At 34.1% G+C, this 18001-nt stretch overlaps 2 long non-coding RNA genes across 3 annotated transcripts in view, besides 1 other annotated feature; one reads left to right on the top strand and one right to left on the bottom strand.

The window, feature by feature from the left end:
* LOC107986324 (uncharacterized) overlaps positions 1–18001 on the bottom strand; it is a 487144-nt gene that overhangs the window by 320956 nt on the left and 148187 nt on the right. The gene's annotated exons all lie outside the window — the stretch shown is intronic.
* LINC02233 (long intergenic non-protein coding RNA 2233) overlaps positions 1–18001 on the top strand; it is a 111282-nt gene that overhangs the window by 71274 nt on the left and 22007 nt on the right. The window lies entirely within an intron of this gene.
* Positions 8139–8638: an enhancer, noted in NCBI's record as "H3K27ac hESC enhancer chr4:160619025-160619524 (GRCh37/hg19 assembly coordinates)". NCBI's record gives its function as "activates a minimal SCP1, AML or CMV promoter by ChIP-STARR-seq in primed H9 embryonic stem cells {active_cell/tissue: H9 hESC(primed)}" and the evidence as "EXISTENCE:reporter gene assay evidence [ECO:0000049][PMID:30033119]".

The following is an 18001-nucleotide window of genomic DNA, read 5'->3' as shown; positions in this document are numbered from 1 at the left end:
TTCCATGGCATAATCTGTAGGCTGACTGTTCTTACGGAGAGTAAAAATATATTGACATGACAGCCAAAAGTCTAACTCCATACAAAAGAGGTTTCAATGGGTAATCTTAGAGAGAACACATGATTAATAAGGTTATTAAAGGAGAGCCATGTGTACAATATTTGCTCACCTAAAATTATAGTTTTCAAAATTGAGGCCTCAAAATGAACCACATGGATGGTTTAAAATTTTCTTTGACAATTTTTAAATGTTTTTGAAAATAACATAAAATTGCAATAAAATAAGAGCACCCAATTTACTACATACAAAAGAAAACAATGACTAAATACCAAAATCATAAAGCAAACTTAAGTAGCCTAATGTAAAGGCACATCCACAGTTTAGAATATTATAGAAATAAAAATATAAATATATAGACATATAATGTCTGGTGTGTTGAAAATACCATGAGAAGATTTTTGGTATAATGTTATGATAAAAAAATATGATTAAAAAAATCTATCTGTAGGATAGATTTTCTTTTAAAAGGCATATACTAACTTGTGAACAGCCAATCATATTCTCTGGAGATAGAAATATTAATAGGTCAACATTATTTTCTTTTTTTTCTCTCTGATATTCAACCCTGAGGATAGTACTTTGATAACTGGGGAGGGGACCAGGAGAGGAAGAGTGAACTTTGTTCAAAAGAATAAAAGCAGAAATGATAAATAGGTTTTTAAAAAGCTTAAAAGAGAATGGTTATTTTTAATTAAGAAATAAAAACTAAATGGATTATAATTTAAGAAAAAAACAAATTAAATGGCAGTGTCATGTTTTAACAATGTCAAGCAAAGGAATCCAAGTGCCAGCCTTTTGAAGCAAAGTTTCAGTAGCTGTCACCTCTCCCCTATATTGTTCCCCTAGGTTGTAAAAGACTGCCAAGAAGTTTTCCTTTGAATGTCTTTCAATAAAAAAGGACTGTTAATCATCTGGACTTCTAAATCTCTTATACTAATCAGCATGTGTGCTTTAGCAGCCTTCAAATTGAATTAGTTGGATTTCCCAGGAGAGGGTCTAAAGAACAAAAAAATCCCTCTTCCCTTAGATCTCCCTCATCTGAAAAAAAAAAAAAAAAAAGAGTCCTCATATTGCTTTTTATTTTCATAGTTTACCTAAAGACAGAAGCATTAATAAATTTACATTTAAACTTACCCCTCTCATTTAGGGTTAAGCCTGCCCCATTATTCTCCACTTTAGAGCATATTCCTAAATGGAACTTTTCAATTCAGGTCCTCAAAGAATGCTTAATGTGTTTTTAATGATATTTCCTTAGTCTCGGGAAACCTTGTTTCTAATATTTAGATTAACTGTCATAAAACCAATTTATATAAATTCAATATATATTTAAATCGAAAGAGACTGAAACATAACAGTAAAACAGGTCTTATATTAATGTTCTGATACTGGCGTAAGTCCTACTTCGGCTAATGTTTGATGTATCAATGATAATAAAATCTATATTAGCAAACACAATCCACATGTACCAGATGTTCTATTGAAGGTTATCTTAGTCCTCTGCCAGAATCCTTTAGGATATTCAGTATCAATTACTATGGCAAAAATTGTGATTATAAGAAATGAGAGAAAGAGTGTTTCTGTCCTGGATACATGGAGCACATACCGCACCTCACTTAGTAGTGGTGATGTGTGTTCCCTGGCACTTATCTTTGAAGAGAAATCAGACATTTAGTGGAAGATAATTCAAACAGCTGCCTCCTATTTAAGCACTAAAACACATTTACATACTGGATGGTGACTTATCACTAGAATATCCCTGTTGAGTTGTAGAATAATTGTACCTTGACAAGGAAAATCTTAGCCTAAAGTAGCAGTGTCTATAAGAATATTAAAATCCAAGATAATTTAAAGTTGAAATTTCTGCTAATTATTTACATAAAGAAAAAATGAAAAACTTACAAGAAACATTACTACTCAAAATTACTGATTTCTGACAGAAGAAATTAATGAGCAATTTTATGACAGAAAAGTGTTATAATAGTTCAAGACCAGATTGAATGTAGTTTATTGATTTAAATAAACACCAATATCAATTTTTAAAATTTTCATGAGTTTTAATAACCTTTGTAAAATGTGATTTTTATTAGCATGCACAGATATATTTAGCTTCCAATATTTCTTAACATATAATGTTCAAAACTTCTATAAGTATTTAGAATAAAAATTTTACTGAATAAAAATTTTGCAAGTTAACAAATCAATTATATCATAAATGCAAATTGGTAGTAATAAAATGTACCATGTTATACATGATTTAAAGACAATTACCTCCATGTACACATAATAATCAATGTAATTTATTCTTCATAAACTGTTAAAAAAAAATCATGTATTCAAGTGGTTTTCAGATGTTTCCCAAAAACTGTGTTAATTATGTTTCATTCCATCAATAATTATTTTCTGTATATCAGACGCTTTATGAGAGATATACAAAAGCTTCAAAAAAGTGCTGTTTCTTGTTTTTATTTTCTGGAGGCATGTGTTGCTCTTATTAGAATTTTTGTCTTGTTTTATTTTGACCATGTAGTCAATTATTCAGTGTGGAGTTTGAAGGTGTAAGTTTATCCCAGTGCCTTCATCTAAGTTAAACCAGACTTACAGACATATTAATTAGTACAAGTAATGTCATTAGTGAAGGTTACTATTGTGAGGACTAGGAAATCTTTCATAAGCATATGTTAACCATTCTATCTTAATCAGGCTCTATTCTCATCTTACTGTGAAATAGCTTTAAAAGTCTATGTTATATCAAATGGCAAATTGATAACTAGTTTATGATACTTTTATTCTATATGACTAGATCTTCAAATGCTGGCCTCAATTTTTTTCCAGTCCAACACAGTGTATAAACTTTTGTACAGTGCCATTTTTTCCAAACAGTTAAAAAGGTTTTAGAAATCAAAACTCATTTGAATTCAACAAATTCCAGAGCTATAAAAAGCTAACAAAAGAAACCAAGAATGCATCAATCTCAGCACCAAAGACAAGAATAGGAGAGACCTATGGATCATCCAGTGCAATCCATTGTAAAATTATTTTCTTTTACATTAAATGTATGCTTACCTACTAACAGTGCTACCTGAGAATATGCTCCATAATCAATGTGATATAAACTAAATTATCTTTCTGCTTGGAATATTTTTATCTCTTCATCATGATAATGTGTTTCTTAAATATACTTTCTACAGTTTTTTTTTTAATTTAAGAGAGTAGCATGATATAATTGAAGTTCACAGGCTCTGAAATCAGATCTAGGTTTAACTTCCAGTTTGGGTATTCATTGACTGTTTAGCCTCAGGAATTTATTCATTCATACATTGATTCATTGCACCATAGTTACTAAAAACATACATGCTCCGGGGAAAAAGGACAAAGTGCCTTCCCTATTCAACCCTGAGTTCTAGTGGATTGTAATGCACTCTGAAATGTGGGAAATGAGAAAATATCTCTACCTAAAGGTCTGTAGAAAAATCAAACATGTAATTGTATTTTAATATAAATATGTTAAAGTATGCTGCATATGTTGTGCCAGGCTTGATTCCTTAGGCAGCTTCCCAACCCAGACCTAGTGCTCTCTTTAAGCATTTTCAGTCTGGAAGACAAATGCACATTGGTGATAATCCATGGAGAAGCATCCTGTCCCACCCAGTTCCAGTGCTGAGCGGTGATCCAACCAAGCCTTGGTGTTCTCCTTGAGCCTCCTCAGAGAGGAGGCAAAAGTAGATCAGAGATTATCCACAGAGGGAGAATATGGCCCTGCTTAACCCCAGCAGCCAGACAGTGACCCAAAAAAGCTGTTGTGTTCTGCTTAAGGCTACCCTAAACCAGGAGGCAAGCTCAAGTCCATGCCTATCTATGGAGCACAGTGTCTGACCCTGCTCACCCCAAATGGCAGAGCGGAGAATCCAGAGACCTCACTCAACCTCAGACCCCAGCACACAACCCTGTCAAACTACAGATTCCAAACAATAGTACTGCCCAGTCAGGGAAGACAGCCTTCAACCCTGCCTGATCAGAGGTAACTGCAGACCTAGCCAGCAACTCCACCTAACCACAGAGTTCAGCCAGTTGTCTCACTGGACCACAAGGCACTCCCGGCACACCCATTTGACCTCTGAGCACAGGGAGCAGCCCAGCCCAGCTAAAGGACCCAACATCAAAATCTGCCTGTTCTAGGTCACAACAGCTAGGCCCAGAATCCCAGACTAGACAAAATTCTGAAAGTTGATCACCACCAAAGAATACCTGCAAAGGCTGGAAGACATGGTCATTTCCTCAACGTGCAGGCACCAATGCAGAGACATATTATGAAAAATCAGAGAAATATGACACCACCCAAAGAAATTAAGCTCCAATAATGGACCCTCAAAAGATGAAGATATAAGAAATGACTGACAAAGAATTCAAGCTAATCCTCTTAAAGAAGTTCAGGGAACTATAATATGGATAAAAAAGATGGATAGAAAATTAAAATGTGGAAAACAGTTCACAAACAAACTGAGAACTTTGACAAAGAAATAGAAACTGTAAGAAAAAATTGTAGCAATAATGAATACAATAACTAAACCGAGAAAGTCAATATAAAGCTTCAATAGCAGACTTGATCAAGTAGAAGAAAGAATCAGTGAGCTCAACAATAAGACATATTAAATTATCCAAGCAAAGGAATGAAAACAATTGAAAAGGTCTATGGGAATTATGGGACATCATCAAGATATTGAACCTTGGCATAATAGTAGTTCCAAGAGAACAGACAGAAAAAGGGCCCAGAAAGCCTATTAAAGAAAATAATAGCTGACAGTTTTACAAATCTGGGAAAAAACAAAAACATTCAGATAAAGGAATCTCAGAGGTTCCACTAAAATTTAACCCCAAAAATATTAACCAGACACATCATAATGAAATCAAAAATCAAAGACAAAGAAAGAATACTGAAAGCAAGGAGAGATGAGAAACATATCAAAATCAGGAGAATCTAAAATGGCTTCAGCAGATTTTTCAGTAGAAACTCTGCAGGCCAGGGGAGAGTAGAAAAATATATTCAAGATGCTGAAGAAAAAAATCTGTCAACCTAGAATACTTACCGGGCAAAGCTGTTCAGAAATGAATAAGAAATAGAAACTTCTCCAGACAAGCAAAAGCTAAGTGATTTCATCACTACTAGACTTGATTTATAGGAATTGCTAAAAGGAGTACTTCAAGCTGAAATGAAAGGCTGATAATTAATTACACAAAACATGTAAAAATTAAAAACTCAATGTCAATGGTATAAGTAATACATAGTCATATGGAGAATTCTCTAATACTGGAAGGGTCGTGCAGTGTTTCTACTGAAAAATCTGCTTCATCTCTACTATAAATGTTAAAAGAAGAAACTATAAAAGAACTATAGCAGCAATAAATTCTTAAGAGATACAAATTATAAATGTAAATATTGACATCAAAATTATAAAAGGTGGTGAAGAGGTAGTGAATATAGAATTCTTCTATGTAATTAAGTTGCTATCAGCTTAAAATAGCCTATTATAAGGATAAGATATTTTATATAAGCACTGTAGTAACCACAAAACAAAAAGTTATAGTAGCAGCACAAAATTAAAAAAAAGATGCAAAGCATACTACCATAGAAAACTATCAAAACACAAAGAAAGACAGCAAGAGAAAAAGAAAGAAACAAAGGATCTACAAAACCACCAATGAACAAATTACAAAATGACAGTACCAAACCATTACCTATAAATAATTATCTTGAATGTAAATGGGTTAAATTCTCCAAAAAAAAGAAAGAGTGTCTGAATGAACTTAAAAAGCAAGATCCAACCATACTCTACCTACAAGAGTCTCATTGTACAAGTAAGTACAAACATAGACTGAAAATGAAGGGATAGAAAAAGATATTCCACAAAAATTGGAACCAGAAGAGAGCAAGGATAGCTATACTTATATCGGACAAAATAGACTCTAAATTACACCTTAAAGAGCTAAGAAAAAGAAGAATAAATGAAACCCAAAGTTGGCAGAAGGAAAGAAAAACAAAGATCCAAGAGGAAGAAACAGAGACTAGAAAAACAATAGGAAAAAAAAATCAACAAAACTAAGAGTTGGTTTTTTAAAAGATAAACAAAACTGACAGATCCTTAGCTAGACTAAGTAGGAAAAAAGAGAATACTCAAATAAATAAAATCTATAATGAAAAAGGAAATATCACAACTGATACCACAGAAATACTAAGAATCATAAGAAAATACTATAAAAAATTATTTGCCAACAAATTGGATAATCTACAAGAACCAGATAAATCCTAGGCACATACAAAATACCAAGCCTGAATCATAAAGAAATAGAAAATCTGAATGGACCAATAAGAAGTGAGAAGATTGAATCAGTAATAAAAAGCCTATCATCAAAGGAAATCCCTGGACTGTATGGTTTCGCTGCTAAATTCTACCAATTATTTAAAAAAGAACTAATTGCAATTCTTCTTAAACGTTTCCAAAAAATCAAAGTAGAAGGAATGCTTCCAAACTCATTTTAGGAGGCCAACGTTACCCTGATAAGCAAAGCCAGACAAGGACACTACAATAAAGGAAAACTACAAACCGATATTCTGATGAACATAAATGCAAAAATCCTCAACAAGATAAACAAATATTAGCAAACCAAATATAATAGCACATTAAAATAGTTATTCACCATGATCAAGTGGAATTTATCTGTATGATACAAGGATGTTTCAACATATGCATATCAATCTTTGTAATATACCACATTAACAAAATGAAGGCTAAAAACCATATGATCATCTCAATGAATGCAAAAAAAAAAATTTGAAAAAATGCAACATACTTTCATGACAAAACTGCTCAACAGATTAGGTATAGAAGAAGTACAAAAAAAGGTTATATATGCCAAACCTATAGCTAACATCATATTCCATGATGAAAAGTTGAAAACCTTTCCTCTAAGATTAGGACAAGACAATGATGCCCGCTCTTACTTCTTTTCAACATAGTACTGAAAGTCCTAGCCAGAGCAATTAGGAAAGTAAAAGAAATAAAAAGCATCCTAATAGGAAAAAAGAAGTGAAATTGTTTCTATTTGCTGATCACATGATTTTCTATATAGAAACCCCTAAAGACTCCACCAAAATACTGTTAGAACTGAGAAATGAATTCAGTAAAGTTGCAGAATACGAAATCAACATATGAAAATCAGTAGCATTTCCATATGCTAATAATAAACAATGTGAAAAAGAAAATTTAAAAAACAATTCAATTTATAATAGCAATAAAAATATAAAATATTTATATGTAAATTTAATCAAGGAAGTGAAAAACCTGTATAATAAAAATTATAAAACCTGATAAAAAAAGAAAACACAGAAAAATGGAAAACTATCTGTGTTTATGGATTGGAAGAATAAATATGGTTAAAATTTCCATACTTCCCACCAATATCTACATATTCAGTGCAATGCTTATCAAAATTCTGATGTCATTTTTCACAGAAATAGAAAACATTTTTAAGTTCACATGAAACCACAGAAGATTACAAATAGCCAAAATAATCTTGAGAAAAAAAAGCTGGAGGCATCACATTCTAATTTCAAAATATACTACAAAGCAATTATAGTCAAACCAGAATGCTATGTGTATAAAAACAGACACATCAACCAATAAAACAGGTTAGAAAGCCCAGAAATAAACCCATGCACTTATAGCTAATTGATTTTCAACAATGCTGCAAAGAACACAATGGGAAAAGAACAATCTCTTCAAGAAATGGTATTGAGGATTGGAAAAAAAAATAGCAAATAGGAGGCAAGACTAACTTGCAGCTCCCACTCAGATAGACAGAACAGTGTGTAGAGACTCACATCATAAATTTATGCTCCAAGAATCACCACAGGAATGTACTAGGAAAACCAAAAGAATTCACAGACCCATTGAAAGAAGTGGCTTGCCACTGCAAACTCTGTGAAACAGCTGGAAAAAAAAAAACTGTGACTGCCGAAAGTGTGAGAAGGGGACAGTTCACCTTCGAACACGCATCCTCACAGGGGAACCTGAAAATCCAGATCACAGGAGAAAGAATTAAACTTACCTAGAGCTGAAACAAATTTAGAGAGCCAAGTGAAATATAAAAGTAGAAGAAGCAGGAGGAAGAACCCTGTAGGCACTCCTGTTCCCCAGGAAGCCATTTCTGACTTCATCTCACAGGAGTCCTTGGGGAGGGCAGCCAATGGAATTAAAGAAGGTCCACAGGGAGAAGAAGACTTCCAGCTAAACTTTATAATAATTTTGACCTAGCATGAATTTTCTAGGGCAGAAGCCAGGGGTCAGGGCACAAACAGGAAGTGCAAATATGAACACAGAAGCCATGGCAGGCAGAGAGGAGCAAGGCCTCAAAACCCTGCTTGCTTTCTCAACAGGGAGGCTTATAGCCTGGGACAAGATCTCAGCCCTGTGCACTGGAGGCCTGGATATAAATTTAGCTCTGTTAGCTATTAGGGGAGCATGGCAGAAGTGAGACTGGCCTTACTGGCTGTGTAGGAGCTGAGAGAGGCCTGTTACTGCCTGCTTTCCCCCACCTTCCCTGATGACCTGTATGAAGCAGCAGAGGAAGCTATAATCCCCCTTGGAACACAACTCCGTTGGTATGAGAACCACCCCATGCCCCACAGTGACCACAACAAGGCCACCCAAGGAGTCTGAGCTCAGACACACCTAACCGCCTCCACCCCACCTAATGGTCTTTTCCTACCCACCCTGGCAGCCAAAAACAAAGGACATAAACTTGTGGGAGCTCTGTGGCCCTACCCATCACCTGAGAAAGATGAATACTTATTCAGGCAACCTTAGGGCAAGCTCGTACACCCTCTATACAACCACAGCTAATACTCTCTTGAAAGTGACACCTCCTGGCTAGAGGCCAACCAACTCAAGTCATTACGGCAACACGTAACAGAACAACCCTGCTCCAAGGAAGGAGAAAACAACAGCAAATTCCACCGCCTATAATATCCTGGCTGACAAGAGGCCCTGAGTCTGTCCACATGACAACTTTACTGCTAGGATAACCAGCATTCAAGAAAACCAGCACACTAAACAACACTGCAACCAAGGACTCTCACAGAGTCCACTTCACTCCCCCTGTTACCTCCACTGGAGCAGGTTTTTGTATCCATGGCTGAGAGACCTGAAGAAGGATCACATCACTTTGCAGACATTCCGAAGTGCCAGGCCAGAGCCCAGTAGCTCCACTGGGTAGCTAGACCCAGAAGAGCAATAACAATTACTACGGTTCAGCTCTCAGGAAGCCCCATCCCTAGGAGAAGCAGGAGAGCACCACATCAAGAGGTCATCCCATGGGACAAAAGAATCTAATCAGCAGTTTTTGAGTCCCAAATCTTTCCTCTTACATAGTCTACACGAATGAGAAGGAACCAGAAAAACAATTCTGGTAATATCACAAAACAAGATTCTATAACACTTCTAAAAGACCACATTAGCTAACCAGCAATGAAACCAAACCAAGAAATCTCCGAATTGCAGAAAAAGAAATTCAGAAGGTCAACAGTCAAGCTACTCAAGGAGGCACCAGAGAAAGGTGAAAACCAACTCAAAGAAATTAAAAGGAAAAAAAACAGGATATGGATTTTAAATATCCCCAGAGAAATAGATATCATAAATAAAAAACAATCACAACTTCTGGAAATGAAAGACACACTTAGAATAATGCAAAACACACTGGAAATTTTCAACAATAGAATTGAACAAATAGAAGAAAGAATTTCAGAGCTCAAAGACAAGGCTTTTGAATTAACCCAGTCTGACAAAGACAAAGACAAAATAATTTTTTAAAATGAACAAAGCTTTCATGAAGTTTAAGATTATGTAAATGACCAGACCTAAGAATAATTGGTGTTCCTGAGGAAGAAGATAAATCTAAAAGTTTGGAAAACTTATTTGACAAAATAATCAAGGAAGACTTCCCCATCCTTGCTAGACAGCTAGACATCCAAATACAAGAAGCTCAAAGAACACCTGGGAAATTCATCAGCAAAAGATCAACACCTAGACATGTAGTTATCAGGTTATCTAAAGTCAAGGCAAAGGAAAGAATCTTAAGAGCTGTGAGGCAGAAGCATCAGGTAACCTATAAAGGAAAATCTGTTAACAGCAGATTTATCAGCAGAAACCCTACAATCTAGAAGGGATTGGAGTCCTATTTTTAGCCTCCTTAAACAAAATATTTATCAGCCAAGAACTTTGTATCCAGTGAAACTAAGCTTCATAAATGGAAAAAAAAAAGTTGAAGTTTTTTTCAGACAAATAACTGCTGAGAGAACATGCCACTACCAAGCAAGCACTACAAGAACTGCGAAAAGGAGCTCTAAATCTTGAAACAAATTCTCAAAATACATCAAAACAGAACATCCTTAAAGCATAAATCTCACAGGGCCTATAAAACAACAATACAACAAATTTTTTAAAAACACACACACAAGATATTCAGATTTCTGTGACCCAGTCTTCCCACCTTGCTTCTGAGGAACATCAGCTACATGCATAAGCTGCCTCTACAATTTCTCCTCTCTCCCTTCTTCCCCCTGGAATTTCATTACCTTATTCTCCTTCTGGTGGTGGCTCTGTCCTGTGGTCTCTGGCAGGTCTCTTGCTGAGAGGGACTTCCCCTGTCGTGCAACCTTTTCCAGCCTCAATATGTTTCATGTGTTTATGACTCTCAACCTAGCTCTTCCTTGATCAACCTGGAGATTCTCAAACTTGTCCCAGCTTCCACTGAGAATCTCAGTAAAATCTGAACATAATGCAGTAAAATAATATACACTCACTTAAAAACCATTATAATAAATATACTTGTCTCATTATGTCTAAAATATCAAATCCAAAGTTAAAGTAATTAAGTACAAATAATGATTTCTCTTTTTATTGGCTTTAAATGTGATGTTTTAATTGTAAAATATTGATCAACTCTCTAATTTTTCTGGTCTAAATATATGCTGTCTTATTTCTTATTCCTCTTTCCACTCAGACCCTGTCCTTGTTTCTACATAAATATAACCTCTTTTGCACAGACCCACAATTTTTCTGAGATCTAATTTTTTACTAAACAGCAACACTTTTTACATAAACCTCTACAGTAAGTGTTTACAGATTTCCCTGATTCTGATTGCCTCACCCTTGTCTAACTAACTGCCACTCTAAATCACAAACATGATTGCACTATCTGGTCACATTTTGAAAATGCTTCAAGAGCTCTTCGTGGCTTGTATTTGCACCTAAATTCTTTCTAATCTTGTAGTTCATGCATACATGTATGAGATCTTCTGCCAGACATCCTTCCCTCTTTTCTATCACTGGAAATTACTTAACAACTCCACTCCTTAACTCTAGTTCATAAGTCTTTGCCTGCCCACATGTTCCATCTGCTTTAGACTATCTTTCCTATTCATTCATCTAACTTCCTCTAGTTCCTACTGGTCTACCAGAATTCAGCTGATCATTTTCTCCTACATGGGATATTCTCTACTTGTTCTTATTTAGAAACACTTGCCTTTATGCATCCCTCTGCATACTCTAAAACAGTCATCACATGAAACAATACCTTTGAATGAATATTTTTACTCTGAAGAACAAATCATTGCACATACGGCTTTCTTCAACATAAAAATAAAATAGCACCATTATTAAAACTGTCCTTTGTTGCCATGAGGATGTTAAAGCTAAAATAGAATAAAAACAAAAGTATATGTGCTTTTTCTCAGACACTGGGATAATTGCTTTAGATAGAGTATTCGACTCTCACAATATTCCATCAGGGTTATTTTTCAATTTTTCATTGCAGTAAAATACAATGTTAAATTTATTATCTTAGCCATTTTTAAGGATACAGTGCAGTAGTATCAAGTATATTCATATTGCTGAACAACAATCACGACCATCCATCTCCAGAACTCCTTTCATTTTGCAAAACTGAAATTCTATACCATTTTAAAATGGGCATAGAAATTGAGTATTAACCCCACTTCTCAATCCCCTGAGCCTTTGGAAATCACTATTCTACTTACTGTCTCTATGATTCTAATCACTCTTACTTAATACCCCATATAAGTAGAATTTGTCTTTTTGCAATTGGCTTACTTCACTTAACACAATGTTCATCCATTTCAGAATTTCCATACTTTTAAAAGATGAATAATATTCCACCATATGTATATATCACAATTTGTTTATCCATTCATCTGCCAATGGAAACTTTTGTTGATCTCACATATAGCTATTGTGAATGATGCTATGCTGCTATAAACATCTGTTCAGGTCCCTACTTTTAAATCTACTGGATATATACCCAGAAGCAGGATTGCTATATCATATGGTAATGCTATTTTTAATATTTTGAGAAGTCACCATACTCCTCTGTATACTGACTGTACCATTTTACATTTCCACCAACAGTGCACAAGAGTCTTAATTTTTCCACATCCTCATCAATACTTGTTATTTTCTGTTTTTTTGATAGTAACAAAACTAACAGGTGTGACATGGTATCTTATTGTTGTTTTGACTTTTTCTTAATAATTAATGATGTTGAGCATCTTCTTTATATGCTTATTGGCCACTTACATGTCTTCTGTAGAGGAATGTCTGTTCAAGATCTTTGTTCATTTTTGAATGAGGTTGTTTCTTCTTTCGCTGTTAAGTTTTACGAGTTTTCTATATATTCTGGATATTAATACCTCATCAAACATGTGATTTGGAAATATATCCTCGCTTTGATGGCTACCTTTTTCACGTTAATAGTGCCATTTGATAAATAATTTTTTAAATTTTCAGAAAATTTAATTTCTACTTTTTCTTTAGTTGCCCAGAAGAAAACGAAATATTTGGTATCATATACAAGAAATATCACCAAATCCAATGTCATGAAGCATTTTCCTTATTTTTTCTAAGATTTTATAGTTTTATGTCTTACATTTAGACCTTTGAACTATTTTATGTTAAAATATCAAATCCAAAGTTAAAGTGATTAAGTACAAATAATGATTTCTCTTTTTATTGGGTTTAAATGTGATGTTTTAATTGTAAAATATTGATCAACCCTCTAATTTTTCTGTTCTAAATATATGCTGTCTTATTTTTTATTCCTCTTTCCACTCAGACCCTTTCCTTGTTTCTACATGAATATAACCTCTTCTTTTGCCCAGACCCATAATTTTTCTGATATCTAATTTTTTACTAAACAACACTTGAATTTCTTCTCAGAAAATGGGTTCTTCTCTTCTATGACATCATCAGGCTGCAAGTTTTTTGAACTTTTATTCTCTGTTTCCCTTTTGAACATAAGTTCATATTTCAAACCATATCTTTGTGAATACATAAAACTGAATGCTTTTAACAGCACCCAAGGCATGTCTTAAACACTTTGCTGCTTAGAAATTTATTTGCCAGATACCCTAAATCATCTCTCTCAAGTTCAATGTTCCACAGATCTCTAGGGCAGGGGCAAAATGGCACCAGTCTCTTTGCTAAAACATGGCAAGAATCACCTTTATTCCAGTTCCCAAAAAGTTCCTCATCTCCATCTGACACCACCTCAGCCTGGACCTTATTGTCCCTATCACTATCAGTATATTGGTCAAAGCCATTCAACAAGTCTCTAGGAAGTTCCAAACTTTGCCACATATTCCTGTCTTCTGAGCTCCCCAAGTCTCTAGGAAGTTCCAAAGTTTCCCACATTTTCCTGTCTTCTTCTGAGCCCTCCAAGATGTTCCAACCTCTGTCTCTTAGCGAGTTCCAAAGTCACTTCCACATTTTCGGGTATGCTTGTAGCAGCACCCCACTCTCTGCAGCACCAATTTACTGTGTTAGTCCATTCTCATGCTGATATAAGGACATACCCGAGACTGGGTAATTTATAGAAGAAAGAATTAATTGACTCACAGTTCTGCAAGGCTAGGGAAACCTAAGGAATCTTACAATCATCGTAGAAGGGAAGCAAACACGACCTTCTTCACATGATGGCAGGAAGGAGAACTGCTGAGCAAAAGAGGGAAAAGCCCCTTATAAAACTATTAGATTTTGTGAGAACTCAGTCACTGAGTCTGATGTTTGAGCACGGGAAGCATCCAGCACAAAAGAAAGATGAAGGCTGGAAGACTCAGTAAGTTGGTACATTCCACCTACTTCCACCTGCTTTTTCTAGCCACACTGGCTGATTGAGAGTGCATCTGCTTCTCCCAATCCACTGACTCAAATGTTAATCTCCTCTGGCAACACCCTCACAGACACACTGAGAAACAATACTTTGCATCATTCAATCCAATCAAGTTGATACTTAATATTAACCATCCCAGTCTTTCATCATTGAGTTTGATGTTCCCTGAGGGTTTCCCACACATGGCCTTTATGATGTTGAGCTAGTTTCTTTTTATTGCTAGTTTGTTGAGTGTTTTTATCAAGACAGACTGTTGAATTCTGTCAACTACTTTTCTGCATCAATAGAGATGATTATGTGGATTTTTCTACATGTTGTTAATGTACTGTATTACATTAATCCATTTTCATAAGTTGAACCATCCTTGCATTCCATGAAAAAAAATCCCACTTTGTCATGGTTTATATCCTTGGATGCTGAAGAATTCAGTTTCCTTGTATTTTGTTGAGAAATTTTATATCATGTTTATAATGAATATTGGTCTGTAGTATCTATCTGACATTCATAGCAGGTTAACATCAGCCTTATAGGATGAGTTAGGAAGAGTTCCCTTCTCTTCAAATTTTTTGAAAAGTTAGAGAAAATTTAGTGCTAGTTCTCCTTTAAATATTTGATAGAATTCACTAGTGAAGCTACAGATTTTTCTATTTTTCTCCTGATTTTGTCTTGGTTGGTGTTGTGTTTCTAGAAATTTGTCCCTTTCATCTAGATTATCCAAATTTTGACATGTAAGTGTTCCTAGGACTCTCTTATAATCCTATTTATTTCTATAGAATAGTAATGTTTCAACTTTTAGTAATTTGAGTCTTTTTTCTTTTTTTCTTAGTTAACCTAGCTAAAAGGTTATCAGTTTTGTTGATTTCAAAGAAAAGACGTTTGGATATTTTTATTTTCTCTATCATTTTTTAATTTTCTATTTTATTTATCTCTGCTCTAATCTCTATTTTTTTTTCACTCTAGTTCATTCTTCATTTTCTAGCTTATAAAGTTATAAAAATTAAGTTGTTGATTTGAGATTTTCTTCTTTTTATGTGTTTTTAGCTATAAATTTCTCCCTTGGTACTGCTTTCACATGTTCCATAATGTGGGGTTTTCACTTTTATTCATCTCTAAGTATTTTTTAATTTCTCTTGCAATTTTTTCTTTAATACACTCATTATTTTAAGATGTGTTGTTTAATTTTCACGAATTTGTGAATCCTTCAGTTTTCCTTCTGTTATTGATGGCTAACTTTATTCCATTGTCGTTAGAAAAGATACCTGGCATAATATCTGTCTTTTTAAATTTACTGAGACTTAATCTTTGGCCCAAAATATTGTCTATCCTGGAAAATAGCCTATATGTACTTGAGAAGAATGTATATTTTGTTGCTGTTGAGTAGACTGTTCTGTATATGTCTGTCAGTTTAGTTGCTTTATCATATTGTTCAAGTCCTCTATTTCCTTACTTATCCTCCATCTGGTTGTTCTATCCATTATTGAGGTAGGGGTATTGAAGTTTCAAGCTATTATTGTAGAACTGTTTATTTTTGCCTTCAATTCTGTCAAATTTTGCTTCATATATATTGATGGTCTGTTATTAAGTAAGTATTTATAATTTTTATATCTTCTGGATGTATTGAAACTTTTATTAGTATATGTCTTTATCACTTTTAAAATATTCTGATTTAAAGTATATTTTGTGTGATATTAAAATAGCCACGTCTGGTGCATTTTGGTTAAAATTTGTATGGAATATATTTTTCCATCTTTTCACTTTTAACCTTTTTGGTTTTTTAGATCTGAAGTGACTCTCTTGTTATGTAGTCGAATCATGTTTTCTCTTTTAAATCCATTTTGCCAGTCTTCGTCTTTTGATTTGAGTTTATTTACATTTAAAATAATTATAAATAAGGAGAAACATTTTTAATTTTTCTTTGTTTTCTATATGTCTTATAGCTTTTATCTCTCATTTTCTGTATTACTGTCATCTTCTGTGCTTCACTGACATTTTGTCGTGAAGTATTTTAAGTCACATCCCTTTTCTTTGTATGTTTATGGTTACTATGAAGATTATATTTAACACCTACATTTATAATACTCTAATTTGAATGTATACCATCTTAACTTCAATAACATACAAAAGACTCTGCTCTTTTATAGCTCTGACCTCATTGCTTTTAGTTGTTGATGTCACAAATTTATATTTTTATACATTGTGTGTCCAAAACATAAACTAATAATCATTGTTATTAATGCATTCATCTCTTAAATTATGTAGAAATCAAAATATGGAGTTACAAAGGATAATTACAATACTAGCTTTTACAATTGCCCATGTATTTACCTTTACTGCCATCTTCATTTCTTTACACACTTCAAATTACTCTCTAGGGTCCTTTCATTTCAACCTATAAAACTTCCTTTAACATTTCTTGCAGGGCAAGTCTAATGGTAATAAATTACCTCAGCTTTTGTTTATCTATGGACTTCTTAACTTCCTCATTTGTGAAGAACACTTGGCCACATATAAGATATTTGATTGACAGATTTCTTTCCTTTTAGCACTTTATCAGCCCACTGCCATCTGGCCTCCAAAGTTTCTGATGACAAACCTGCTAATAATCTTATTGAGGATTTCTTGTTTGCAGTGTCTTCTTCTCACTGCTTTCAGTATTCACTGCCTTGGCTTTCAACAGTTTGATTATAATGTATCTCAGCATGGGTCTGTTTGAGTTCATTCTACTGGTAGTTTATTGAGCTTCTTAGATGTTTATATTTATGTCTTTCATCAAATTTGGGTAATTTCTGTCATTATTTCTTCAAATTTTTTTTCTGGTTCTCTCTTTCTCATCTTTCTGGGACTTCCCTAATTTATATGTTGGGCTGCTTGATGTTGTACAATGTTCTTTAAGGTTTGTCCAGTTTTTTTCAATCTTTTTTCTGTTTCTCAGACTAGATAACTTCCATTGTCCTATCTTCACATTTGCTGATTCTTTATTCTATCTGATCAAATCTGCCTTTGAAACTCTATAGTGAATTTTCGTTTCTTATTGTACTTTTCTGCTCCAGAGTTTTTCATTTCTTTTTAAGTTTCTTCTTTATTAATATTTTCACTTTGTTCACTTATCATTTTATTAACTTTCTCCATGTCTTTCTTTCTTTCTTTGAGCATCTTTAGGACAGTTATTTTAAAGTAATTTCCTGGTATATTTGCCATCGGGTCCTTCTCACAAATAGTTTCCAATAGGTCTTTTTTTTATTTGAATGGAATATAATTTCCTGTTTCTATAAATGCCTTGTAATTTTTTTTGTTAAAAACTGAGCATTTGAATCTAATAATGTGGTAACTGAAAATCAGAATCTCGTCTTCCACAGGGTTTGATGCTGTTTTGTTTTTTTTTGTTGTTGTTTGTTTGTTTCATTGTTGCATGCATTGTGAATAAGCTTAAGGTATAAATGTAATGCCTTTTGAAGTCTTTTCTGAGCCTGTGCTTTTGCTGGGCATTTGAGGTTACTTTCTAACTTCCCTCATATATGCAGCTGCTTTTGATTATACCAGTCTTTAATATCTGGCTCCCAAAGAGGGGAAAGGAGAAAAATAAAGGGCAATGAAAAAAGGCACTGGTCTTTTAAGTTTCCTGGAAGTAACTTCAGCCAAACGGAGGGGGACTTGCAACAATGGAGGAAGGTGCAACAACAATGGCTGCCACCTCTGTGTCTAA

The sequence above is a fragment of the Homo sapiens genome, chromosome 4 (genome assembly GCF_000001405.40).
Source record: "Homo sapiens chromosome 4, GRCh38.p14 Primary Assembly".
In the NCBI taxonomy this organism is placed as follows: domain Eukaryota; kingdom Metazoa; phylum Chordata; class Mammalia; order Primates; family Hominidae; genus Homo; species Homo sapiens.
The sequence above is the reverse complement of the archived record's forward strand: the minus strand, read 5'-3'. Positions and strand labels throughout refer to the sequence as shown.